Here is a 27384-nt window from a genome sequence, read left to right on the forward strand (position 1 = left end):
CAATATGGTGAAACCCCACCTCAACTAAAAATACAAAAATTAGCCGGGTGTGGTGGCGGGTGCCTGTAGTCCCACCTACTCGGGAGGCTGAGGCAGGAGAATCGCTTGAACCTGGGAGGCAGAGGTTGCACTGAGCCAAGACTGTGCCACTGCACTCCAGCCTGGGCAACAGAGCGAAACTCTGTCTCAACAACAACAAAAAAGAAATGAGGAGATAGCAGGAAGATGTATTAAGAAAAGCTACAGTTTTTATGATTGCCTTTTACTTTAAAAATATTTAATTTTTAGAATAGTTTCTAAATGAAAGTAGAAGTCATACAAGGAAAAGTTTTCCTCTTCTTTCCCATTAACTCTTTTTTACTCCCTTCTCCCAGCCCCAGCATATAGCCACTGCTGTGTGTTTCTGGTATACATCCAAAAAAATTTTATGTAAATACCAGCAAATGTGATTATATATTCTAGATTTTCCCCTTCTTATCCCTAGGGATAGCCTACTGTATATATTTTTATTGTCTTATTTTTTTTTCTCTGAATAATATGACCTGGAGATCTTTCTGCATTGGAACTTAGAGGTTATTCATTTGTTTATAGGAATATTTGTTCTGAAGGTACTAAAATATTTGTAACCAGTCATTTTTTACGATTACAAATAATACCTGTATGTTTGCAGTAGGCTAACTTCTTAAAAGGTGAACTGCTAGGTCTGAGAATATGCACCTGCCATTTCAGTAGATACTGTCATATTACCTCCTTAAGTGGCGATCTGGTATCTATGCCCACCAGCAAAGCATGAAGAGTACTGTTTTCTCACAGTTACATCAGTATAGTGTGCTATCAAACTTTTGGATTTTTGACAGTCTAGTAAGTGAAAAATAGTATTTTTTTTAAAAAGTGCAGTTTTAGTTTTCATTTGTTAAGAATGAAGTTGAACATCTCTTTGTATGTTCAAGAACCATATGTGTTTCATTTTTTCATGAACTCTCAGTTCATATTTGTTGCCCGTTTTTTTCTATTAGCTTTGGTCTTTTAAGTTTTTGAGTTTTGTATGTTAGGCCTAAGGGCCTGACAGCTCACTGTGGCTGTAACATTGCTTGTAAGATGGGCCTGGTGAGCAGTAGTTTTGGATTGGGGCATGGTGGCTGGATCGTGAAGGGCCCTGGAAAGTCCATTTGGTGTTTATATAGGCTCTTGGTTTATAAAACTTTTTTTGACTTACAGAAATAGTATCTTATTAGAGATTCTTTTTTTTTTTTTTTGAGACGGAGTCTCACTCTGTCTCCAGGCTGGAGTGCAGTGGCGCGATCTCAGCTCACTGCAACCTCCAACTCCCTGGTTCAAGCGATTCTCCTCCCAAGTATCTGGGATTACAAACGCGCGCCACCATAAGTATCTGGGATTACAAACACGCGCCACCATGCCCAGCTAATTTTTGTATTTTTAGTAGAGACGGGGTTTCACCATGTTGGTCATGATGGTCTCGATCTCTTGACATCATGATCCGCCTGCCTCGGCCTCCTAAAGTGCTAGGATTATAGGCATGAACCACCGCGCCCGGCCTAGGGATTCTCTAGATGCAGTAACTTCTGAAATAATTATATGTCAAAATCAATAGAGCAATTTAATTTGGAATGAGGATGGGGAATATTAATAATGTTCTTTTCTACATGGTAAGTACAACGTCTGTCTTGTACCTGATTTGACTATGACCAGGCCTACTTAGCTATGGGGTAATAGCCATAATTAATTTTCAATAGTTACTGGTAGAGCTTTGCCAGCTATTATTTTTCATTTAAAAGAAAAAATCGTCTTTCATATAATGAACAGACTTCAAGTTGACCCTTGGTTTCCTCATCTTATTTCTATGAAGCACTCAGGGGGACTATTTTAAGAGAACAAACTCATTATATAAGTAATCTCCGAGAATAACTGCTTCTTCCTAGTAGCTTCTATTTCCTTTAGTCAGAGACTCACTCTACAGACACCACCACCATACAAAGGGCCAGTTCATACTCTTGAGAGTTTCAGAATGGGAGCATAGGTACTCTTTGTCAGTGTCTTCCTATCATTTCTCCTCTACTCTTTCCTCCTTTTCCCCCCTTTTTCTGCTCGTTCTCCCAGCGCTCCAACCCTAGCTGGCTTAAAGGAAAATACTTTATCATGAATCACTTTTATTCTTTTTAGAAAACAGATTTTGAAAACATGGTTACTCCATGCTGAGCATTGTGTAAGTCCAAATAAAGAAAAATAAATGAAATGTAAAGAAAAAAATTAATCTATTGACCAGAATTTTTATTTTGTTTTCTTTTTGTTTTTTGAGTTGGAGTCTCGCTCTGCTGCTCAGGCTGGAGTGCCGTGGTGCGATCTCGGCTCACTGCAACCTCCGCCTCCCATGTTCAAGTGATTCTTCTGCCTCAGCCTCCCGAGTAGCTGGGATTACAGGCATGTGCCACCACGCCCAACTAATTTTTGTATTTTTAGTAGAGATGGGGTTTCACCATGTTGGTGAAGCTGGTCTTGAACTCCTGACCTCGTGATCCGCCCGCCTTGGCCTCCCAGAGTGCTGGGATTACAGGCGCGAGCCACCGCGCCGACCATTTTCATTGGTTTTAAGAAGTTATTTTTCAAGTTGTACCTTAAGGGTGCTTTCGAATTCTCTTATTAAAGCATACTCTATTCTCAGTTTTTAGTAGGCAGTCAATGATTTGTGTTACGTAAATAAACCCTCTGGGTATGGGTAAACGTACTGCACACTTAAAATGTTTGGACTTGACTTGTCTTCCAGAGTTCTGTGGTAAAGAAACTCTCAAAACATGCTTTTTGGGTTCAAGACAATCAAACTGTTTTCTCTCTTTGTTTTGTTCTTACTGAATTTTTATTTGTATCAACCTCCATACCCTCCTTACTTAAATCCATGAATAGACTCCTTTTATTGTTTTGTGTTGTTTCTTGGGTTGATTTTCAAATGGAACTGTTGTGTAAGATAAAGGTTTGTTCTCCTGAATAGTGTTGATGTGAACCGTGCTGTCTCTTCTATAATGCCACCATTATGCAGAAGCCTGCAGGGGGAAGGGCAGATTCGTAGTTGTGAGAGTCTGCCTGTGCTTTAGGGTAATAATCCTGCATTCATTATTAATCTCCCTTTGCTTCCATGTCTCCTGCTCATTACCAAAGGCCAAGACATGACATGTTCAAGATCTTAGAAATTTTGAAAATAGCAGAACGGCTGCTTTTGAAGCCCGATTGTTAGTCTTAGAAATGACAACTGTAAGGCCATGTAATATTACTTATTTTAGTTTTTAGATATTGTCTACATTGTTTTTTGATCAATAGGCAAAGAGCCACTAATGAGCCATTATAATTTCCTTAAATTCACAGTCTCTGGAGTCAGTTTGTCTGGGTTTGTAATCCCTGCCAACCCTCTCACCGTGTGATTCTAGGCAAGTTACTTTTCTTTTCTAGACCTTAGGTTCCTCCTCTATAAAATTGGAATAAAAATGAAGGTCAACGTGGGAGGATTACATGAAAAAATGAATGTGACAGGCCAAGTTTATTGCTGGATATATAATAGGTACTCAATAATGTTAGCTATTATCGTTATTACTAATCAGATTTTTATTACCCTGGATTTAAAAATAATTTTTCTGTATATAAAGAAATAGTTTGGAAAGTAAAGTGTTTCAATTACAACAATAGTTTATTTCTTTTGTTGGTGACTATTATTTTCTTGGTTCGGTGAGTCCAAAAGCTTTTAGCAGGCAAGGGAAAAGTCCCTTGGAAAATGTATATCAGGTCACTGTTTTTCTGATGGATCACAGCAGGAAAATAGTTTATGTTCTCACCTTAAAATAAAAGGAAGCTATTGATTCCAAGCTGTATGGAAAGGGAAACTTAAAAACATTTAAAAAGCGTTGATAAGTTTTTTAAGGGAAAAAAGGGCAATGCATGCTTTTAACAATTCAAACAGTACAGATAGATATAAATTAAATATTCATGTGTCCCTTCTCAGGATTAAGCATTAAAAAATTATAAAAGTAGTATCCATGCAAGTTTAAAAAAAAAGAGAAAGAATATAAAAGATGCACATGAATACAATATTGGAGCCCACTGAACCTTTATCTTGCCTTCAAGGGCAAACCAGTTTTTCATGTATACTTCTATCCATTTTCTTTGCTTAGAACAGAATTTCCCTTTTTTCTTTTTCCTTTGTAAAACACAAAGTAGATACTAGACATATTCTTCTACACCTTGCTTTGTTTCTTCTGATAATATCACAGAGATTGTTACAAATTGGCACGTAGAGATTTATGTTGCTTTCTAAACAGGCATGATATTTCAGCTGCAGTCCCGTAATTTATTTAACCAGTGTCGTTATAGTGGATATGTTGGCTTTTTATGTTTTTTGCCTTGTCAATAATCTTCAATGAGAATTACTTATTTATATATGTTTGTGTGTGTGCGTGCGTGTGTGTACACATGTGTATGGGTATGTGATGTAAGTATCCTACAAGCACATGTAGGAGAAATTCTGACGTGCATATATATTTGCTAGTTTTTTCTACTTTGCCTTCCAAAGAGTTTCATCAGCGTAGCCTGCCATCAGCAGAGGGAGAGGTTGCCAGTTTTCCCATTCTTTTGCTTGCACTGGATAGTATCGCACTTAATATTTTCTATTTTGATACGAGAATATAGGATCTCATTTTGTTTTGCATTTTAAAATTATGCGAGATCAATGTATATCAGGATAAATTCCTAATAGATCCGAGATATAAATGCAAAACCATATGTGTATTAGAAGAAAACATGGGTGAATTACTTAGTAATTTGGGAATAGAGGAAGTGTTCTAATAATGACTCAAAACCCATCAGCAATAACAGAAAAGAGTGACACATTTGCTATTTTAGAAATAAAAAAGTATGAAGAAACGATAAAAAAGTAAAATGACAAACTGGAAAAAATGTTGTGACTTCTATCATAGATATAGATAGGGTTGATATCCTATGTGGCGTATGTGTATGAGTAAATTAAAATTTGAGATGAAAATAACTATTAGCCTGATAGAAAAATGGGCAAAAAATAGGTACAGATGAAAAGATGAAAAACAGAAAAAAAAAAAAAAAACACTGCGAGGGGCCCTTATGCGTGAAAAGGTGCCCAGCTCACTCATAATAAGAAAAATGCATGTTACACCCTCACTGTTGTTTTTCACCAGATTGGCGGAAGTCCAAAGTTTTCATAGCAGACTCCAGGGTCAAGGCTGCAGGTAAAGGGCACTCACAGGCCCTGCTCATGGGAGTGCAAAGTGGCACACCTTTGTGGAGAAGAATTTTACAGTATGTAATGGAATTTCATGAGAATTTATCCTCTGACCCCACATTCCCACCTTTTTGGACTCGATTCCAAAAGTAATCTGGGAAACATAAAAATGACATGTGTACATTGCTACTCATTGCAGTACTGTTTGTAATAAAGAAAGACTGTATGCCACTGCCCTCCAGCCTGGGCGACACAGTGAGACTTTGTCTCAAACAACAACAACAACAACAACAACAACAACAACAACAACAACAACAGACTGTAAATAATAAGATATTGAAATCTAGATTCCATCTGTCTAGCCTGAAGTTTGCAGCTCTCCAAAATAGATCTGATATCCCAACTTTGGCATTGGCAATATTTAGCTTATGTGCAGATGGTTTTCAGCTGCATATCAGAGGTTACGAGCACTCTAAGGGGTTCTAACGCTCAAATCTCGAAGTAGGTGGAGTTCTTTCTTGGGCACTCTCTAAGTTGGTGCCTTCTTCCTACCTTTCCCTTCCCTGGTCCACTCTTGTCCATCTGCCTGGCCCTTCTTTCCTTCAGTGCCCTTCTCTAATATTGCTTCTCCTTTTAAGGCACTGGAGGACCTGGCATGAATGTTCTAAGGCAAGATCAGAAGGTGTTAACCTCTTAGCAGGTATTTGCTCTGATGACCAGATCATCTAAAAGTGGCAGTGTGTTTGTATATTTATTTTATTATTTATTCCACCTCCACTTATCCAAATTAATGTATGAAATTGGGATGTATCTTAAAATTGATAAGAACTTGCATTTAACTTCTACCCCTCTGGAAGAGTTTTTGCAGAGTTGATGGTGTTTCTCGTAGTTGATGGCATCTTAGAAGCCCAACAATGTGTGCATAAGGGGGTAAGCCATGTGGAATCACCATTATTTATTGGCAAATAGCCATAGACAGTTTTCCTTCTCACTTTTCATTTTTAGTGAGTTTGTTTTCTGTGTTATTTCATAAATAAGGCCTCTGCTGGGTGATTGTGGGTTGGCTCAGAGCTAGCAAATACTCTAAATTGAGAAAGGAAAAGTTTAGGGTATTATCTTTTTGTTAACAATATTAACATTTATACAGATATCTGTCTTGAATTCTTAGCATTTGACATAATTAATTATTCCCTCTTTTTTTCCCTTCTTTTTTTGAGACAGAATCTTGCTGTGTAGCCCAGGCTGGAGTGCAGTGGTGCAATCACAGTTCACTGCAACCTCTGCCTCCTGGGATCAAGCGAATTTCCTGTCTCAGCCTCCTGAGTAGCTGGGACTATAGGCATGCGCCACCATGCCTGGCTAATTTTTGTATTTTTACAAAATACAAAGAGACAGGATTTTGCCACGTTGGTCAGGCTGGTCTTGAACTCCTGACCTCAAGTAATTTGCCCGCCTCTGCCTCCTGCAGTGCTGGAATTACAGGCACAAGCCACCGTGTCTGGCCTGCTTTTTTTTTTTTTTTAATTTATTTTTAATTTTTTAAAATCAGATAGGCTCTTTAAGACTGTAAACTCCCTGAGGGTAGAGATTCTATTCACAGCCGTATCCCCAGTACCCAGAGTACAGCCTGGCACGTAGTGAATCCTGATTGCCTATTGTTTGTTGATTGACTGATTTATGCCTCTAAGAGGAACTATCTTTTGATAATATTAAATAAGATGTCCTAATACAAAACTGATAGAGTTCAGAAATAATTAAGAATCTCCTGGCCAGGCGTGGTGGCTCACGCCTTTAATCCCAGCACTTTGGAAGGCTGAGGTGGGCGGATCACGAGATCAGGAGATTGAGACCATCCTGGCTAACATGGTGAAACCCTGTCTCTACTAAAAATACAAAAAAAAATTAGCCGGGTGTGATGGCGGGTGCCTGTAGTCCCAGCTACTCAGGAGGCTGAGGCAGGAGAATGGCGTGAACCCGGGAGGCAGAGCTTGCAGTGAGCCGAGATCTCTAGCCTGGGCAACAGAGCGAGACTCCGTCTCAAAACAAAAACAAAAACAAAAACACAACAAAAAAAAGAATCTCCTATGTTCAGCGGGAAAGGAATATTTGTTGGGTGGGGGGGTTCCTAAAAGATTATGTAATTTTTTGGCATTTTGACATATTCACAGAATTCCTATTGATTGAGGTTACTGCATCAAGTATAGTACAGTCATGTGTTGCTTAAGCACAGGAATTTGTTCTGAGAAATGTGTCAGGCTATTTTGTTATCATGCGAACATCATCAAGTGTACCCACACAAACCTAGATTGTACAGCCTATGACATATCTAGGCCATTATATGGTATAGCCTATTGCTCCCAGGCTACACACCTGTACAGCATATTGCCGTATTGAATACCGTAGGCACTGCAGAGCATCTAAACTAGAAAAGGTACAGTAAAAATATGGTATGAAAAATTTAAAATGGTGCACCTGTCTAAGACACTTACTATGAATGGAGCTTGCAGGACTGGAAGTTGCTCTGGGTGAGTCAGTGAGTGGGTGGTGAGTGAATGTGAAGGCCTGGGACATACCCTGCACCCTACTGTAGACTTTATAAACACTGTACACTTAGGCTACACTAAATTTATACAAAATATTTTTCTTTCATAATAATAAATTAACCTTAGCTTACTATAATATTTTTACTTTATGAACCTTTTAATTTTTGAAAACGTTTTCACACTCTTGTAATAACACTTAAAACACAAGTATATTGTACAGCTGAACAAAAATATTTCCTTATTGTTTAAGTGTTTAAAATTAAATTTTATTTACTTATGGCCAGGCGCAGTGGCTCACACCTGTAATGCTAGCAGTTTGGGAGGCCGAGGCAGGTAGATCACGAGGTCAAGAGATTGAGACCATCCTGGCCAACATGATGAAACCCCGTCTGTACTAAAAATACAAAAAGTTAGCCAGGTGTGGTGGCAGGTGCCTGTAGTCCCAGCTACTTGGGCGGCTGAGGCAGGAGAATCACTTGGGCCCGGGAGGCGGAGGTTGCAGTGAGCCGAGATTGCGCCACTGTACTCTAGCCTGGTGACAGAGTGAGACTCTGTCTCAAATAAATAAATAAATAAATAAATAAAAATAAATAAATAATTTTATTTTATTTATTTATTTTATTTTTAAAATTTTATTTATTTTTACTTTTTAAATGTGTTTGTTAAACGCTAAGACAGAAACATACACATGAGCCTAGGCCTACAAAGGGCAGGATCATCAATATTACTGTCTTCCAGCAACACATCTTGTCCCACTGGAAGATCTTCAGGGGCAATAACATGTATGCAGCTGTCATCTCCTATGTTAGCAATGCCTTACCTTCTTCTGGAATACCTGCCTCCTGGAGGACCTTTCTGAGGCTATTTCACGGTTAAATTTTTTTTTTTTTTTTTTTTTTTTGTGAGACAGAGTCTCACTCTGTCACCCAGGCTGGAGTGCAGTGGTGCAATCTCAGCTCACTGCAACCTCTGTCCCCCAGGTTCAAGCAATTCTTCTGCCTCAGCCTCCCGAGTAGCTGGGATTACAGGCGCCTGCTACTGCACCCGGCTAATTTTTGTATTTTTAGTAGAAATGGGGTTTCACTATCTTGGTCAGGCTGGTCTTGAACTGCTGACCTCGTGATCCAGCCACCTCGGCCTCCCAAAGTGCTGGGATTACAGGTGTGAGCCACTGCACCTGGCCAACTTTTTTCTTTCTTCTTCCTTTTTTTTTTTTTAAATAAGTAGAAGGAGTACATTAAAATAGTGATGAAAAGTATTCTATAGTAAATACTAAGTGATAGGAATTTTTAAGCTCCATTATACTCTTGTGTATCAACTGTCATATATGTGGTCCATCGTTGACTGAAATGTCATTATGCAACACATGTTTTCCCTTTATTTTGAAACCAATGTTGGCAAAATTCCAAAGTACAATAATTTGCATTATTTATTCATTGTCATACTTCTTGAGGGGTCCTATGGTAAGAGTTATCTAGTGACTTGAAAATGACTGGGTAGAAGAATGTGCCAGGATATAAAGCTGGCATCTGATACAGATAGTTCAGATGGATTAGGATTATCTGTCATTAGGATTATTTATTTATTTTGAGACAGAGTTTTGCTCTTGTTGCCCAGGCTGGAGTATGGTGGCACGATCTCGGCTTACTGCAACCTCCACCTCCTGAGTTCAAGCAATTCTTCTGCCTCAGCCTCCTGAGTAGCTGGGATTACAGGTGCCCGCCCCCACGCCCGGCTAATTTTTTGTATTATTAGTAGAGATGGGGTTTCATCATGTTGGCCAGGCTGGTCTCGAACTCCTAACCTCAGGTGATCCACCCGCCTCGGCCTCCCAAAGTGCCGGGATTACAGGCGTGAGCACCTGCACCCGGCCCTTATTTATTTGTTTTGAAATAAACTAACAATTGCTAGTTTTTTTTTATCATTAGCTAGCAGACATCTGTGACATTTTCTTGTCTGCATAATATGGTTCTCATAGTATTGCTTTGTCATTTGAAATTCAACATTCATTCAGCAAATATTTAAGGAGTATCTCCCATGTAGCAGGCCCTGTAATAAGTGCTGGGGATATAGTTACGAGTAAGGTGTGAGTCTCAGTCCTAAATCTTTGTTAAATACAACAGTGAAGCTTGTTTCTTGAAGCTCATTTCTAACGATCACTATGGCCTTCCAAGCTTTAGGAGATTGGAGAAGCGCCATATGCATGTGGTCCCACACATTGCCCCTCTGTCATCCTCCCCTCACCCTTTACCTACTTGCATATTGTTTAGTGTGCCGTGACAATTTGAATGTCTACTCTGTGCCCATCACTCTGTTGGGATTTGAACGTTCAAGGAGCAGCAGATAAAAATGTATTCAGTATCTCTTAAATAGTAGTAAAGACAGGCCAAAAAATGAATGATTTTCAGTGTACAAGAATTGTCTACACACAGTCTGTTATAGGAATTCAGAGAAGAAAGAGTACTAGGATCAGATTGATAGTAGAGGAATATCACTCAGGTGGCATTGGGAATAATTTGGAGGATACTAACAGGAGGTAGGTGAATAATCTTTTCTGAGTTGAGTAGGGAAGTGACATAATTGATTTATGTTTTATATAAGGCACTCTGGCTGCTGGGTGGCAAATTAGACTATGGTCTGGGGGTAGAGGAAATGAATGCAAGAAATGAGTCAGGTTAGCAAGGATCATAGTATTCAGCTGATAAATAGTGTAAGTAGTTTCCATGCCTTTCATTGTTTCAACATTTTTTTTTTTTAGCTGGGCATGGTGGTGGGCGCCTGTAATCCCAGCTACTCAGGAGGCTGAGGCAGGAGAATGTCGTGAACCCAGGAGACGGAGGTTGCAGTGAGCGGAGATCATGCCACTGCACTCCAGCCTGGGTGACAGAGCGAGACTCTGTCTCAAAAAAAAAAAAAATATTTTTTTTTGCCATGTTTATAATAAAATACTGGGGGAATTTTTTTTTTTTTTTTAGATGGAGTCTTGCTCCATCGCACAGGCTGGAATGCAGTGGCATAATGATCTCGGCTCACTGCAACCTCTGCCTCCCGGGTTCAAGCAATTCTCTGCCTCAGCCTCCTGAATAGCTGAGAGTACAGGCATGCCCGCCACCACACCCGGCTAATTTTTGTATTTTTAGTAGAGACCGGGTTTCACCATCTTGGCCCAACTGGTCTTGAACTACGGACCTCATGATCCACCCTCCACAGCCTCCCAAAGTGCTGGGATTACGGGAGTGAGCCACTGCGCCCGGTAGAATTTTTTGGCGTGTGTGCCAAGTTACCAGAAACTCTGATGTGCTTACCAGTCCTCCCACCTAGTGCTCTTATTTGAATCTTTCTTCCTAGGTGGAGAATCTACACATAGACATCTGTATGTTCTCTTAGTTCATGTCATTTGATCTTAGCTTCTGTTCTTATACAGATACTGTTGAAGGTGCTGCAGTTTTCAATTTTGGTTTTCCTTTCTTTATGGTAATCCTATTTTAATATATAAGATCCTTTCAGGCAACTGAAGTATGCAAGAGGCAGGTGGAATAGTAGCAACTTTAGGTATTAAAAATTCATATAATAAATATGATGGGTTTGGATTATTTGTTGCATTGCCAGTGAGTTTATTATAGTATATAACAATATTTAATCAAAATGGTGATAGGAATAAAAGGCCCACTTTGAGGTAAATCATTAATTTTTAAGGCAGACAAGTTAGGTTTTTAAGAATTTCTCAAGCTGAAGAATATTCAGTGTACACTCTGTGCCTGAAAAAGCTTAACACATAATCCACAAAGGTGAAATTGATTTGATACTCAGAGTTAAGATTAGGGCAAGTTTCACTTTAGTTTGTGGAAATTATTAGATAGTACTGTCAAGCATTGAAAGTAAAGGAAGAGAATGCTTATCATTACATTTTAAGTGAAAAGATATAGCATAGATTACACATTTTTATATTTATTGTTCACAAATATTTCCATGTTCTAGCAATTTTCTACTGTGTTGTAATTGCCTGTTCATTTTACTCCACTGTTTTTCTCTCCCCTACCGCAGCAATCCCAGTGCCACTGGATATTTTTGAATGATTAAGTGTGCTACTTACTTCTTTTTTGTGTTCATTTTTTTAATAGAAAATGCATCCGATGCAGATTTATGGCTCCTGAACAGTTGCACTGTAAAAAACCCAGCTGAAGACCACTTTAGAAACTCAATTAAGTAAGTAGAAATTGATTTTTTCCTATTTTGTATAATCAAAGTAAGAATTGATACCAAAAGATTAGCTTTTTAAAAATGTCAATATAGATATTTAGTTTATATTAAAAAAGTATGAGTTGGACTTTTAAGATTATACTATTTTGAATTTGTCTGATACAGAATGATGCTTTTTTTATTTTTTATTTTTAAATTAAATTTACTTTAAGTTCTGGGGTACATGTACAGGATGTGCAAGTTTGTTACATAGGCAAACATGTGCCATGATGGTTTGCTGCACCTATCAACCCATCACCTAGGTATTAAGCCCTATATGCATTAGCTATTTATCCTGATGCTCTCCCTTCCCCCACCCCCTAACAGGCCCAACTGTATGTTGTTCCCCTCCCTGTGTCCATGTGTTCTCATTGTTCAGCTCCCACTTGTAAGTGAGAACATGCAGTGTTTGTTTTTCTGTTCCTGTATTAGTTTGGTGCGGATGACGGCTTCCAGCTCCATCTGTGTGCTTGCAAAGGATGTGATCTCATTTCTTTTTATGGCTGCATAGTATTCCATGGTGTATATGCACCACAATTTCTTTAGTCTGTCATTGATGGGAATTTGGGTTGATTCCATGTCTTTGCTATTGTGAATAGTGCTGCAATGAACATATGTGTGCATGTATCTTTTTAATAGAATGATTTATGTTCCTTCGGGGATATACCCAGTAATGGCATTGCTGGATCAAATGGCCTTTCTGGTTCTAGGTCTTTGAGAAATCGCCACACTGTCTTCCACAATGGTTTAATTAATTTACATTCCCACCAACAGTGTAAAAGTGTTCCTATTTATCCACAGCCTCGCCAGCATCTGTTGTTTGTTGACTTTTAATAATCGCCATTCTGACTGGCGTGAAATGGTACCTCATTGTGGTTTTGGCTTGCATTTCTCTAATGATCAGAGATGTTGAACTTTTTTTCATATGTTTTTTTGCTGCATAAATGTCTTTTGAGAAGTGTCCATGTGCTTTGCCCACTTTTTAATGGGGTTGTTTGTTTTTTTTCCTATATATCTGTTTACATTCCTTATAGATTCTGGATATCAGACCTTTGTTATGTGGATAGATTGCAAAAATTTTCTCCCATTCTATAGGTTGTCTGTTCACTCTGATGATAGTTTCTTTTGCTATGCAGAAGCTCTTTAATTAGATTCCATTTGTCAATTTTTGCTTTTGTCGAAATTGCTTTTGATGTTTTCATCATGAAATCTTTGCCTGTGCCTATGTCCTGAATGGTATTGCCTAGGTTTTCTTCTTGGGTTTTTGAAGTTTTGGGCTTTACATTTAAGTCTTTAATCCATCTTGAGTTAATTTTTGTATAAGGTATAAGGAAGGGGTCCAGTTTCAGTTTTCTGCACAAGGCTAGCCAGTTTTCCCAGCACCATTTATCAAGTAGGGAATCCTCTCCCCATTGCTTGTTTTTGTCAGGTTTGTTGAAGATCAGATGGTTGTAGATGTGCGGTCTTATTTCTGAGTTCTCTATTCTGTTTCCTTGGTCTATGTATCTGTTTTTACACCAGTCCTATGAAGTTTTGGTTACTGTAGCCTTGTAGTATAGTTTGAAGTTGGGTAGCGCGATGCCCCTAGTTTTGTTCTTTTTTCTTAGGATTGTCTTGGCTATATGGGCTCTTTTTTGGTTTCATATGAATTTTAAAGTTTTTTTTTCTAATTCTATGAAGAATGTCAATGGTAGTTTAATGGGAATAGTATTGAATCTACAAATTACTTTGGGCAGTATGGCCATTTTCATGATATTGATTCTTCCTATCCATGAGCATGGAATGTTTTACCATTTGTTTGTTTCCTCTCTTATTTCCTTGGGCAGTGGTTTGTAGTTCTCCTCGAAGAGGTCCTTCACTTCCCTTGTTAGCTGTTTTCCTAGGTATTTTATTCTTTTTGTGGCAATTGTAAATGGGAGTTCATTCATGATTTGGCTCTCAGTTTGTCTATTGTTGCTGTATAGGAATGCTTGTGATTTTTGCACATTGATTTTATATCCTGAGAGTTTACTGAAGTTGCTTATTAGGTTAAGAAGTTTTTGGGCTGAGACGATGGGGTTTTCTAGGAATAGGATCATGTCATCTGCAAACAGAGACAGTTTGACTTCCTCTCTTTCTATTTGAATACGCTTTATTTTTTTCTCTTGCCTGATTGCCCTGGCCAGAACTTCCAATGCTGTGTTGAATAGGAGTGGTGAGAGAGGGCATCCTTGTCTTGTGCCCGTTTTCAAAGGGAATGCTTCCAGCTTTTGCTCATTCAGTATGATATGGGCTGTGGGTTTGTCATAAATGGCCCTTATTATTTTGAGGTCTGTTCCATCAATACTTAGTTTATTGAGAGTTTTTAACATGAAGGGATGTTGAATTTTATTGAAGACCTTTTCTGTATTGAGAAAATCATGTGGTTTTTGTCTTTAGTTCTGTTTATGTGATGAATTATGTTTATTGATTTACATATGTTGAACCAGCCTCGCATCCAGGGATGAAGCCCACTTGATCATGGTGGATAAGCTTTTTGATGTGCTGCTGGATTCGGTTTGCCCAGTATTTTATTGAGGATTTTTGCATTGATGTTCATCATGGATATTGACCTGAAGTTTTCTTTTTTTGTTGTATCTCTGCCAGGTTTTGGTATCAGGATGATGCTGGCCTCATAAAATGAGTTAGGAAGAAATCCCTTGTTTTCAGTTGTTTGGAGTAGTTTCAGGAGGATGGCTTTTTGAAGGGTTTTTTGTGTGTCTATCTCCTTAAGAGTAATACTTTAATGGGAACTTTTCTAATAAGTAATTTCAGTATTTGTGAAGTTAGCTAATAGGTGATTTTTGAGTATTTGTTAAGTGTTAACTATGTGTTCTTCTCGGAGAATCAATGCATACTTTGTGAAGTTGCCTGACACAGTCCTTGCCTCTTTTCCCTGCCCATTAGCACTGTTCTAAGTGCTGCAGTACCTGGCTTTCAACGGAATTGCACTTTGTTGAAGGGAGGTGGGCATATTAAGTCCTTGCTTCTTTCTTTGTTCCCTCAAGTTAACGTGGAAGAAGTATCCTTTTTTCACATTTTCTCTGAATCTTATCTCCATGGATCTTCTTAGAAACCTTCTTCTAGAAATTATTTCCTCATTCCATATTTCCAACCTCTCCAACTCCCCTGGAACCTTTTCATTGGTATTTAAACATACCTGGGTCTAATCGGCCCCCTGTGCCCCTGTTAGCTATTGTCCTACATTTTTTCTTGCCTTCCCAGCCAGACTTTTAAAAATTCTTCTCTTCTTAATTTCATTCTTATACTCATTCTTTTTCCCCTTTATTGGTTTTATTGTGAAATATATTAAACATACATTAGCGTTTATAAAACACATACAGTTTAAATAATAATAAACACTTAAACATCTGCCACCCAGTGTAAGAAGTATAACATTGTCAAGACCGTAGAAACTGCCGTGTTTTCAATCATAACTCCCAAGAAGTAACCTTTATCTTGACTTTTGTGAGTCATTTCCTTACTTTTATTAGTTAATGTATCATCTATTAAGTATGTCTTTAAACAGTGTGTTGTCTTGTTTAGCCGTATTTTGAACTTTATCTGTTGAACTTATACTGTTTGTGTTCTTCTGAGATTTACATCTTTTTCTCAGCATTACGCTTTGAGATTTATTCATGTTAATGGGTGTAAATTCATAGAATTTGCTACAATTTATTCATTTTATTATTAATAGAGTTTTGAATTTTTCCCAGTGTTTTGCTTTCATGGACATTCCTGCTATGACTATTTTAAACATGTTTTCCGGTGCACATGTGTAAGAATTATTCTAGAATATGAACCTGGGAGTTGAGTTACTGGGTAACATATCTGTGTACATTCAAACTTTATTAGGTAACGCCAATTTCTTTTCACGAATGGATGTAGTAGTGTGCATTCTCACCAGTAATGGATGTGTGCATTTGTTGTTTTCCATTTTTGTCAGCACTTGATATGGCCAGACTTAAGTTTTTGCAAGTCTGTTGGTGATGATGGTATTTCGTTTTGGTTTTAATTTACATTTCCTTTTTTTCTTTTCTTGAGACAGGCTCTCACCCTGTCGCCCAGGCTGAAGTGCAGTGGCAGGATCTCGGCTCACTGCAACCTCTGCCTCTCGTGTTCAAAGGATTCTCCTGCCTCAGCCTCCCGGGTACCTGGGATCACAGGCGGGCGCCACCACACCCGGCTAATTTTTTTTTTTTTTTGAGAGGGAGTCTCACTCTGTCACCAGCCTGGAGTGCAGTGGGGCAATCTTGTCTCGCTACAACCTCCAACTCCCGGGTTCAAGTGATTCTCCTGCCTCAGCCTCTCGAGTAGGTGGGATTACAGGCGTGCACCACCACACCCAGCTAATTTTTGTTTTTAGTAGAGATGGAGTTTCACCATGTTGGCCAGGATGATCTCAATCTCCTGACCTCGTGATCCGCCTGCCTCGGCCTCCCAAAGTGCTGGGATTACAGACGTGAGCCACTGCGCCTAGTCAATTTTTTATATTTTTAGTAGAGATGCGGTTTCACCGTGTTGGCCAGGCTGGTCTTGAACTTCTGACTTCAAGTGATCCACCCACCTTGGCCTCCCAAAGTGTTGGGATTACAGGCATGAGCCACCGCGCCTAGTCAGTTTTTTGTATTTTTAGTAGAGATGTGGTTTCACTGTGTTGGCCAGGCTGATCTCGAACTTCTGACCTCAAGTGATCCACCTGCCTCGGCCTCCCAAAGTACTGGGATTACAGGCGTGAGCCACTGTGCCCGGCCTTTGTTGCATTTCTGTGATCATTAATGAGTTTGGGCTTTTTAAAATAGATCTATTGGCTATTTGGATTTTACTTTTTTGGTAAAATGGCTTCTCAGGTCATTTGTCTATTTTTCTGGTTTTTTTTTTTCATTTTAATCATTTATTTGTGGCCATATATTATGTGTCTTACATATCCTAATCCTTAGATATTATACACGTTGCAAATATCTTCTCCCAATTGTGGCTTATCTTTTCATTTTCTTTTGTGGTATCTTTTGATGAAGATAAATTCTGGTTTAAAGTTTATTAATCCGTTCTTTTTGGTCTGTGTTCTTATTGTTTAAGAAGTCTTTTCTTACTCTGAAGCTATTAAGATATTTTCCTATATTTTCTTCTAAAAGTTTCATGGTTTTACCTTTTACATTTAGGTCTATAATTCATCTAGAGTTGACTGTTATTATTTTTTATTATGGTATCAGAAGGGGTCCAATTTTATGTCTTTCTCTGTAGATAACCAATTGTTTCAGTATCATTTATTTATTTAAGTTCTATTCTTTCTTCTTTTATCTGTGCATTGCCCACCCTCTCATATGTTGAGTGTCCATAGATGTTTGAATCTGTTCTGGGTCCTCTATTTCATTCCTTTGATCTATTTCTTTATTCTGGTTCTTGTTCTACATAGTCATAAGTAGTACAGAGTTACATTAAGGCTACCTATTTGATAGTGCTAGTACCTTTTTGTTCTTCTTTAAGAGTGTATCTGTTTTTAAGTTGAACAAGGAATACTGTTGTGTGTTTGTGATTACATTTAATTTTTAGATGATTTTGGGGAGAATTGAATCTTCACAATTTTGAGTTATCCAACTCTTCTATCCTGACTTTTTAAGGATTGATTCTTTTCTTTCTATAGCTCTTGTGCATCTTTTAGACTTTTTTCTCCCAATGTAGATATTGAATTATTCCAGTGCGTTAAGAAAATAAACTTATTCTTTCTTCTTTTGCCTGCACAGTATGTACTTTATATTTTTATACTACTTTAAATGGTAAACTTTAAAAATTTTTTGTTTTCTGTTTTTACTGCCTTGGTCAGGGACTTAGTTGTAGTAGCAATGTGAAGGATGGTTGTGTGTAAGGAAGAGTATAGATCAGGAGTCCAGTGAGGACAGAGTGGTTGTAGTCCAGGTACAGAGGATCTCATCTAAAGTGGAGGTGTTCAGAATTGGAAGGAATACATTGACTTGAGATGGAAGAATTCTTTACATCAGGGGTCTCCAACCCCTGGGCTGTAGACGTGTACTCGTCTGTGGCCTGTTAGGAACTGGCTGCACAGCAGGAAGTGAGTGGTAGGCGAGCAAGCATTACTGCCTGAGGTCTGCCTGCTATTAGATCAGCAGCAGCATTAGATTCTTACAGGAGCACACATCCTATTGTGAACTGTACATGTGAGGGATCTAGGTTGTGCGCTCCTTATAAGAATCTAAACTAATGCTTGGTGACCTGAGGTGGAACAGTTTCACCCCAACACCACACCTCCCACCCCCGGTCTGTGGAAAAATTATCTTCCATGAAGCCGGTTCTTGGTGCCAAAAATGTTGGGGGGACCGCTGCTTTACACATTCCACGTTGTCCAAGATGACTCTAAGGTCTCTGGCTAGAATGAAGTGAGGAATTCTAGGAAGGGAGTTATTAAGAGATGACATGTTTTGGTTTTGAATGTGCTGTATTTGAAGTTACAGATAAATATTTTAATAAGATAATGAATATACTTGAGCTTTATTGAGTGTCTTCTATGTGACGGGCAGTGTTCTAAGTGCTTTAGATGAATTAGATATTATCTAGCTTAATTCTTGCAGCCTATCAATGAGTTGTAGATTCCATTTGTATTCCTGTTTTATAGGTGAAGCAGCATCTGTTTTACAGATGAAGGTCTCTAAGGCTGCTGTTCAGTTCATAAATGGTAGAAGTGGGATTTTAACCGAGGCAGTCTGACTAGAGTCTGTGCATTTAACCATTTTATTACTGTGCTTCCTAGATAAAGATGTCAAGTAAGTGGTTGCAGAATTGAGGCAGATATCAAAGAGGTCAACACTAGAAACACAAATTTAATATTGTTTGCATAGAGTTGATAGTTGAATGTGATGTCATCCTTAATTCAAAATGGTGGAAGGAACAGAGGAGTTCTTACCGGAGCGATGGCAAGAGGCAAGGGAAGGGAGGATGGAAGAGGGGAGTTAGGGTCAAGTTTAGGAGCAGAAGAAGGACGAATTAAACTAAGGCAGAGAATGGTATTCACCAGATGCTGTCCGTTTTCAGAGAATGCTTTTTTTTTTTAATGAGAAGCCTGTGATTGTCTCAAATTATGTATTTTTCTCTGTAGAAAGGTAAACAAGATACAAAGATACTTTACTGCTACTGATACCCCCTATGTACTGAACCTAGAGAATATAGTTTCTGTGATTATCAACTTTATAATGTAATTAATGGACATAGTTCTAGAGTATTTCTAAAAGTTTAAAAACTCAAATATAACTTGTGTCAATGGGTTTTGTTATATATGTGTTATTAATATGGTTCAAAGTAATGAAATGCTGTTTGAATGATTAAGTAGAAATGGCAAGAAAAGTTTGCCATTTAAACACTACAAAGCTAGTGGTAGCAAGCACAGGTTCCTTTAATGTACTATTCTGCTTGATTGAAAGAAAATTTAAAAAGATATTATATATGATTAAGTATTTTTAATGGCCTTGAAGACTTTTGATCATCACAACTAATTCTTATTAAGATAACACTTAAACTAACATTTGATTTCTTTCCAGAATAAATACAATCCTGTAAAAGGTACAATAACAGTTAACATTGGGAAAATATCAGATTGAGGTGACATTTATACATATAAAATCTTTCAGTGATGGATTACTCTTGTCAAGCATTTTGCTTTATTCAGATATTTTTCCAGTTGTCACCATTGCCTAACACAAAACAGCAAAGATGAGTAGTGTAACATTGTTAAATGTTAAGTCGTGCTACACATGTGCCTTTTCTCATCCTCCAGCACCATCCTTTCCCTTTGCTGTCCTCTCTTGCATGCGTTTTGGTTTTCCATGAGAGTGAGGTAAAGCTTAGATTCAAAGAGAGCCTGATAAGATGTTGCTTCTCCTTCTGTTGCACCCAATCCTTTATACCCAAATGTAAAGATTTACAGCAGTGGGGTGGGACCTGTCTTTTTCTAACCTGGACTCTTTACCCATGATTGCTTCACTTTGCTACTTATTCCTGTGTGTCATCATCTCTCGATCATCTGCTTTTGTTTTCCTTCCAGTACTTCTTGGTGTTAAATAGTTGTTTTAAATTATGCATCACATCATTTTGTTTCTCTTGAGCCACCACACAAAAGATCACCTTGTTTTGACAGGAATAAAGAAAGATGACTCTAAGGGATTTACTGTCTTTCATGTGATTAATACAGTCTCAATGATTAAGATCCAGAAATTGTGCATTTGTGACATGACAGTTATGGACTGAATTATTTTGTCGTTTGTTTTGGGGCTTAATACTTTTTTCAAGGTTTTACAGTGTTTGTATTATTGATATTCAGACTGATAAAAGAGTAAGAATTTTAAGTAGCAAAAATAGAGATAAGAGTGACTTTTTGGTTGCCTTTTCACCTTAGAAATCTGAAATGTTATTGCCCTTACTAATTTAGAAAGAATCGCTAGGAAGCCCCCTGTGTTATGATGGCAGCCTGCTGGATGCATACTAGTTCCTCTTGAGCATTTGTCAGTTGCCCTGGCTTTGTTTTATCCATTAGACCATTTTGATTTAGACAATATGGCCTTTAACTTGGGGGGGTTCTTGAGTAAATAAAAAAGATCAAAAGTTTCAAAAAATAAAATTTGCTCTTAATGATAGTATCAAATCAAAAAACTCCTTTGGTTAATGCTTTATAGAAGTGTGGGATCTTTTCCATGCCACCTACAGGAGGTCATTCAGAGGCTGGTGAAAATAAACACATCTTGTGTGTCCTATATAAATGACAGAAAGAATAGCCAGCTTGCTTTGATCATGGACTGTCAACCTCTATTTGACCTTGTGCATTATTAACCCAAATGGGCACTGTGGTTTAGCCATACTGATAGTGGATAGACAGGAGTCACTTGTTTTTAACTGCCTTTGCCTGTAGAAATAAATGGTAATGTCGAAGGGATGGCTTAGGTATCTGAATGTAATTACTTGAAACGACAATTGAAAATAAAGGCAGAACTGGATAAAGACAAAAAATGTGTGTTTGAGACAGAGGATATCTGCTTTGTATAACATCTTTTCACTATAGGAAAGCACCTTCCATGCTATTCTGTTGAGCAAAACATAAATTATTGGATTGTTATTCCTATTATGAAAATATTGTTTATGTAGATTTATTTTTGAGTTCTTTTTCTTCATAAATTGAAGTTGGGGGAGGTACCAGAATATTATTTCAACTTGAACTTGTAAAGTAAATTGCTTTCAAAAAAGCTGACTTCATAAGAATAGAGAAGTGGTTACCTTTTCAGTTAGTAATTATCCAGTTTAAAAGAATTAAAAAAAACCCTTTCCAGTTCTCTTGTTAACCACATTCACTAGTAATTTTCTTTTTTAACTAAACTTCTAAAAGTTACTTTTATTTACTTTTTGAGACCGGGTCTCGTTCTGTTGCTCAGGCCGGAGTGCAGTAGCACGATCACGGCTTACTGTAGCCTCATCCTCCTGGGCCAAAGCAATTCTACCATCTCAGCCTCATGAGTAGCTGGGACTACAGGCATACACCACCACACCCAGCCAATCTGTTATTATTATTATTATTTTTTTTTAGTAGAGAGGGGGTCTTGCTATGTTGTTCAGGCTGGTCTTGAACTCCTGACCTCAATCAAGTGATCCTCCTGCCTTGGCCTCCCAAAGTGTTGGGGATTACAGGCATGAGCCACCTTGCCTGACTTCCAAAATTAATTTTTAATTAAAAAAATTTTGTCATTAGAAGGTAAAAAATCACAGGGTTTTGATTTGGCCTTTTGTGAGAAATAAGTTAGATGATGCAAGTTATTTGAGTTATACTTTAAATAATACTATAGTTTGTTGATTTTTTGTTAAACTTAGATATTTTAATTTTAACTCTTCTAATTATATGAAATGGCTATAGTTTAGTATCAGTTTCATCTTTTTGTTTAAAATGTTAGTGGCAGATTCAGTGAATCATTGTGTGCTTTTACCAGTCACAATCTCCTTTTTTCAGCTATCCTTGCCCACCAAAAAGTATCCTTTTACATGGAAAGTTAGTTCAAAATATTAGACTGAATTAATTAGTATTATTGGTTGGGTATTGTCTAATAAGATTGTCTCCCAACAGTGCTATGCTTAATATGAATTTACATTTTCCTATCATTTGTCATCTCCTTCCACTGTTTGGATATTGTCTGTATGCTGATTTCTCCCAAATCTTCGTCTTTGATCTGTATATCTCCTTACAGGCTCCAGCCTTGTATATCCCACTGCTTCCTTGACTTCGCCATTTGGATGACCTTGACCATGGACACCTCAAATCATCATGTCAGGGCCTCCTCCTTATCTACCTCACCTTTTCTCTAGCTAGCATTTCCATTAGTATTGCCCATCTTCTTTGATTGTGGTCATCAGGAAATTGCATTATCATTTCTTAGTGTAACAAGGGTTTTTAAAAAAAATTTGTTCAATGCCTCTCTCTCCTACCTCTTTTCTTGCCACTGGGCTATAGAATTTTACTTCCTCCCTGACATTAGAAAGTTTCCCAAGCACATAATGTATTTGCATATGTTCTTCCCTTCCTTGGACTGTCTTCTCTCTTTCCTCCAAATGCATGCCCTCACCTCCACCCACCCCACATTAATCCCACCTGGCTAAATAGTTGATCTCTGGAACTCATGTCAGAGATAACACCTGTGGGGTCATCGCCCTTCTAAGCTTCACCTCACCTCTTAGCTCCAAGGTCTGTTCCATGCTAGTTCTTTATCCCATATTAACAATTAACATCTGTTGTTGTGTAGTATATTCTATTATTTGTTTACATATTTGGCTTGCTACTAGATTGTGAGTTTTGAGGTTAGGATACTGACCTCAGAAAAATTCTTTTTATGAAGCCTTTGACGCTCTGACTCTACTGTGTAATGATTTTCCTTGTCCTGGGAAACAGATATCATTAATAGACAAAGACCATTTGTCAACGGTTGTAAGAATGTTCTCCCAAGGTTGTAGTGAGTCCCTTGACAGATACAGGCTGTGTATTTGTAGAAAGGGAAAAGGACATTCTAACTTCCTAATTTCTAACTTCTAATATTGTATTCCTGAGGGAAGTTGTAAAAGGAGTATCTCCCTTCTTGGAGTAGTCACCTGGTCATGCTGGCAGGATCTTGTGCTCCTCACTATCCTAAATGAGCTCCGGGCCAGCTTCAGGGCTGTGGCCATTAGATTAGTTAAAGCATCATGTCTTGAGTGAGAGAGTAGGAAAGGTGGATAAAAACCTGGTTAGTGTTTGGCCTTGAGTTTGGCACACAATTATAATTACTCAATACATGTTTGTATAATTAGGTTGAACTGGTTTTTCCTCTTTTTGGGAAAAGGGTTTAGTATCGTTATGCTGTCATTGCATCAAGTCATCGTTAATATATTTATGTTAAGTACATTGTAAGTTGTATAAGTAATATAATTGCATTAATATCAGAACACTTGTCTTACATTTGAGTTTCAAATTGTCCAGATTTGAGAGTGAGCAAAATACACCAGATATACCACCAAAATTGAAAAAAAAATCAACTGCTTGCTGTTGGGGAAGAAGTAGTAATGTTGGAAAGGTTGACTTGATAGAGGATTTTGTAAGATGAGTGAAAAAGATCTAAAAGGACAGTGATGTCTCTGTTATTGACTGAGGTATCCTTGGTCTCTAGAATAGTGCCTGATGAACAGCATTGAGTTACTTATTCACTGAATTGAATTGAAAGATTTGATGAAGGCCAAATTTCTCTAAATACATTCTTGTTTATGGATTAGGTCTTATTATCTATCATATGTGAATGAATTCATTTTATTCATCTTATGTCACAGTTTTGTTTAGTCTATTTTCTGTTGTTGCGAGGATTTTGTAATTTTTTCCTCATGAGTTTGTTTGGAGTTGATAATGGTATTTGAGGAGCAAGTTTTCTAGAAACATAGATGAAGAGTTTTTTGTAAAGTAGGGGGTGAGAGTTATGTATGTTCAGAGCAGCTTCTGACCATTTCCTATTGGAGGCTTCAAGTTGTCTTCTAACTCTGGAAAAACATGGAGATGAGTGAGAGGAAAGACAGAATATTATCATGTGATGTATGCCAGTGAGCAGTTTTATTGGAAATACAAAAGAAAGTCTATTTTAGTGTTTAATTCCTGGTTTACATAAAAAAAAACCAAATGAAACTGTAAACTTACAGTTAAAAGATTAGTAAGTTAATTTGCAAATCAGCAACAGAAAAAGCAGTTCAGAGGTGGTAGGCCATTTTAAAATGCAAAACTGAGTTTTGTAGATATCCAAAATCTTTTTGAAGACTAGTATTTTGCATATTTTATGATTAATGTTACATCAACAGTTGCTTTGTTTTTGCCATTTTAAGCAAGAGAGTGAGTGAAAGAGGGCAGTGTATTATGTGCTGGCAACAGCTGGCTGATAGCATTGAAATACTTACATAATTAAATATATGTGTTGGCTGTTGTCCTAACAACTCTGTAGGTGGAGGCTCCAGAAAGCATGCAGAAACTTGCTTTAGCAGGATTAAAGAAAAAATCAACATGATCTAAGTCTGTTCTTTCAGCCAAGAGTGATTTCCTATTGTTTTGGTTTGAAAGACATTCTACTTATTCTTGGTGTGTGTGTTTATATAACAGCAGAGAAAAAAAGGCTCTTGTTTTTTTCTTCCCTTATTGTTTGCTCTAAGAGTGACAAACATAATCTTTCATAATTTTTAGTCAGTAGTATTGTTTAATAACTGATAATAAGTGAAATAAAAAAGACTTTTTAAACCCATAGGACATGTTACCAAAGTATTAAATATTAACCCTTTTTATTTCTTACTTATGGTTACACTTAGGTGTCGTTCTCTGGGCCACATTAATGAAGTTATTTAGATTGTAGGCTATATTAAGGCATAGATTGCTATGATCCTGGGAAATTGGATAGGAGTGGCAGGTAATATGCAACTTACTTTTACCTAACAGCTGTGGATCTAAATCTTACTCAAAGTGCCCTATGTTTACATATTTTACTGTTTTTGTAGCTCTAAGGCTGAGGCTGGTCCCTACTGTACCTTTGATGAAAGGATGGCACTTTTGTGGGTGTTAGAGTGCATAGACACAGTGCAGCACCACTGTGTGTGGCTGCCCCATATTAATACCTGTCATTTCTTTATCTGTCTGCACCCATTTTCAGAGTTCCTTAGGGGCAGCCACTATATCTTTTATCTGTATCCCAGCATCTTATACAGTGATTGACAGTGATAGTTGAACAAATGAATGAACCAACTCATATGTATGTTTCCTTTGCATGTTTATCTTTCCCATCCCTTCCACCTTCTGTGTCTGTCAGATCAAATGTCTTCCACTGGATTTTCATAGAACTTTTTCTGTGTCTCTTTCTTATTAGATTTTAAGAGTTTGAACTTGAGGTTATCTGCATGTCATAGAAAACCTAAAAAGTAGAGGCTTACATGACTTAGGGGATTTATTTTTCGTACATATTGCAAAGTCCACAGTTAGGAAATTGCTGGCTTTGCTTTACCAGTTTAAGGGTGTGAGGATTGAAGTCGGTTGTTTTAAAGGTCTTTCCCTTTTGGTGTCAAATGGTTATTGCTCTCTGGCCATCACATGCACTTTCCCCCACAAAAAAGATGGAAGTACCAAACTGGATGTGCCGGCTGAGTCTGTCCCTTCTTTAAAGGAGCTTTATAGGAAGTCCCGCTCAAAACCCGTGCTTGCATCTCATTGTGTGGAGTCATATCACAGGACTACCTCTATTTGTAAGAGAGGCTGGGAAATGTAGTGTTTTTTTTTCTTTTGTTTTTATACTGCACACATTGTTGCTCCCAACAGAATTGGGATTCTGTTAGTAAGGGAGATGGGGCTAATGTTTATTGGCTTGATATCTCTGCTATAGGGTATAAACTTTGGGACAAGATACACATTTTATTTATCTTTCTATCATTTATCAGGTCCATTGTATTGGAGGAGGTCCTCAACATACTTGTGAACAAATGATCCTCTTTTCTCCTCTTATCTTTATTCAGAACATTTAAGAAATGACATAGTTGACATGTAAGAACTTTTCCTCTTTTTGCTTACTCTGAGTGGTCTCTGATGAAGGAATAACAGAATACATAGGAGAAGTTCATGGCTTAGTTGTTGGACACACGTATTTTTTAAAAAATGGGACTTACATATATTTTCTGCTCTTAAGACCTGCAATGACCATATTTGAAATGGAATCTATAAGGAAAATATGTTTTTCATTGTTCTGAGATTCATTTCTGTGATATAATAATCATAAGCCTGATTTAAAACCTAGATATTTTAAAATAATTTAGACATAAAACAAAAGTGGAGTTTATGATGATTATCATGGAGGGTCTTAACCAATTGGAAAACAGGTTGAAGGACAGTTAAACTCATTTTATAATTAAGCGTTTAGAAAATAATATTTTGTTTAATTCTAAAAAAATTTAGGTACAGCTGAAAAATACCACCTCTCACTAAGATGGAAATTTAATGTTTTAGATTTCACTTGAAAAAAAAATGGAGAATTTGATATAACCAGTGAAAATCTAACCAATGGGAAGAGTCTTACAAAACTTGCTGGAGATTTTTTATAGGTTGGCGCCATTGGATATTATCAGAGGGATATTAACGCTATCAAATTCTCATTCCAGGATACAACCTACACATTCTGCAGCAGTGTCTTTTTTGTGTTTCTGTACACAGAAACTGTCGAGAACTACCCAGATATAATTAGGTTCTCCTGACCCATTCTTTACTGTTTCTTTGTGTGCATGTGTGCTCGCACGCTCAATGTAGATGCATTAAGAAAGAAACTGACAGAATCACATGATAGAAAGTGTTTTGGGAAAAATACAAATTAAAATGGATGTCAAGGATCTCTTTAACAATATGTTTTAGAAGTCAACAGCTCATCCTTTGTGCCAACCAACAATTTGCTTTCCAGCTCATAAATTTCGTTTCCATTACAAGAGGAATCAGATAAGCAAGTTTATGGCAAAACTAAAAAGTTTAATTTGGTGCTTTCCTTAAGTACCTGTCAGTATTTTATGATAGTTACTGAAGGAAAAGACTTGTTTTACCTCAAATGAGAAAATGGTTTGAGTCAACATATTTTGTAGTATTTCAGTCATCCATGGTTGAAACATTGATTAACTCTTTTGATGCTTTTACCATTTTAATTTGATAACAAAGGATTTGATGTCATTGATCAAGTAAATTTTTTAAAAGGTAATTTTTAAAAATAGGGAATAGAACTGGAGTGTATTCATTGAGCAAATTCTAAGAAACTTTAAAAA

General features: G+C 37.5%; 1 protein-coding gene across 12 annotated transcripts in view; it reads left to right on the plus strand.

The window, feature by feature from the left end:
• The window catches only part of CDKAL1 (CDKAL1 threonylcarbamoyladenosine tRNA methylthiotransferase), a 697948-nt gene that overhangs the window by 102918 nt on the left and 567646 nt on the right, over nt 1–27384 (plus strand). For all 12 annotated transcript variants that reach the window (XM_047418949.1, XM_047418952.1, NM_017774.3 and 9 more), the window contains one exon: nt 11919–12003. In XM_047418949.1, coding sequence (XP_047274905.1) covers nt 11919–12003 — 85 coding nt within the window. The remainder of the gene's footprint in view (nt 1–11918; nt 12004–27384) is intronic.

The sequence above is a fragment of the Homo sapiens genome, chromosome 6 (assembly GCF_000001405.40).
Source record: "Homo sapiens chromosome 6, GRCh38.p14 Primary Assembly".
Lineage (NCBI taxonomy): Eukaryota > Metazoa > Chordata > Mammalia > Primates > Hominidae > Homo > Homo sapiens.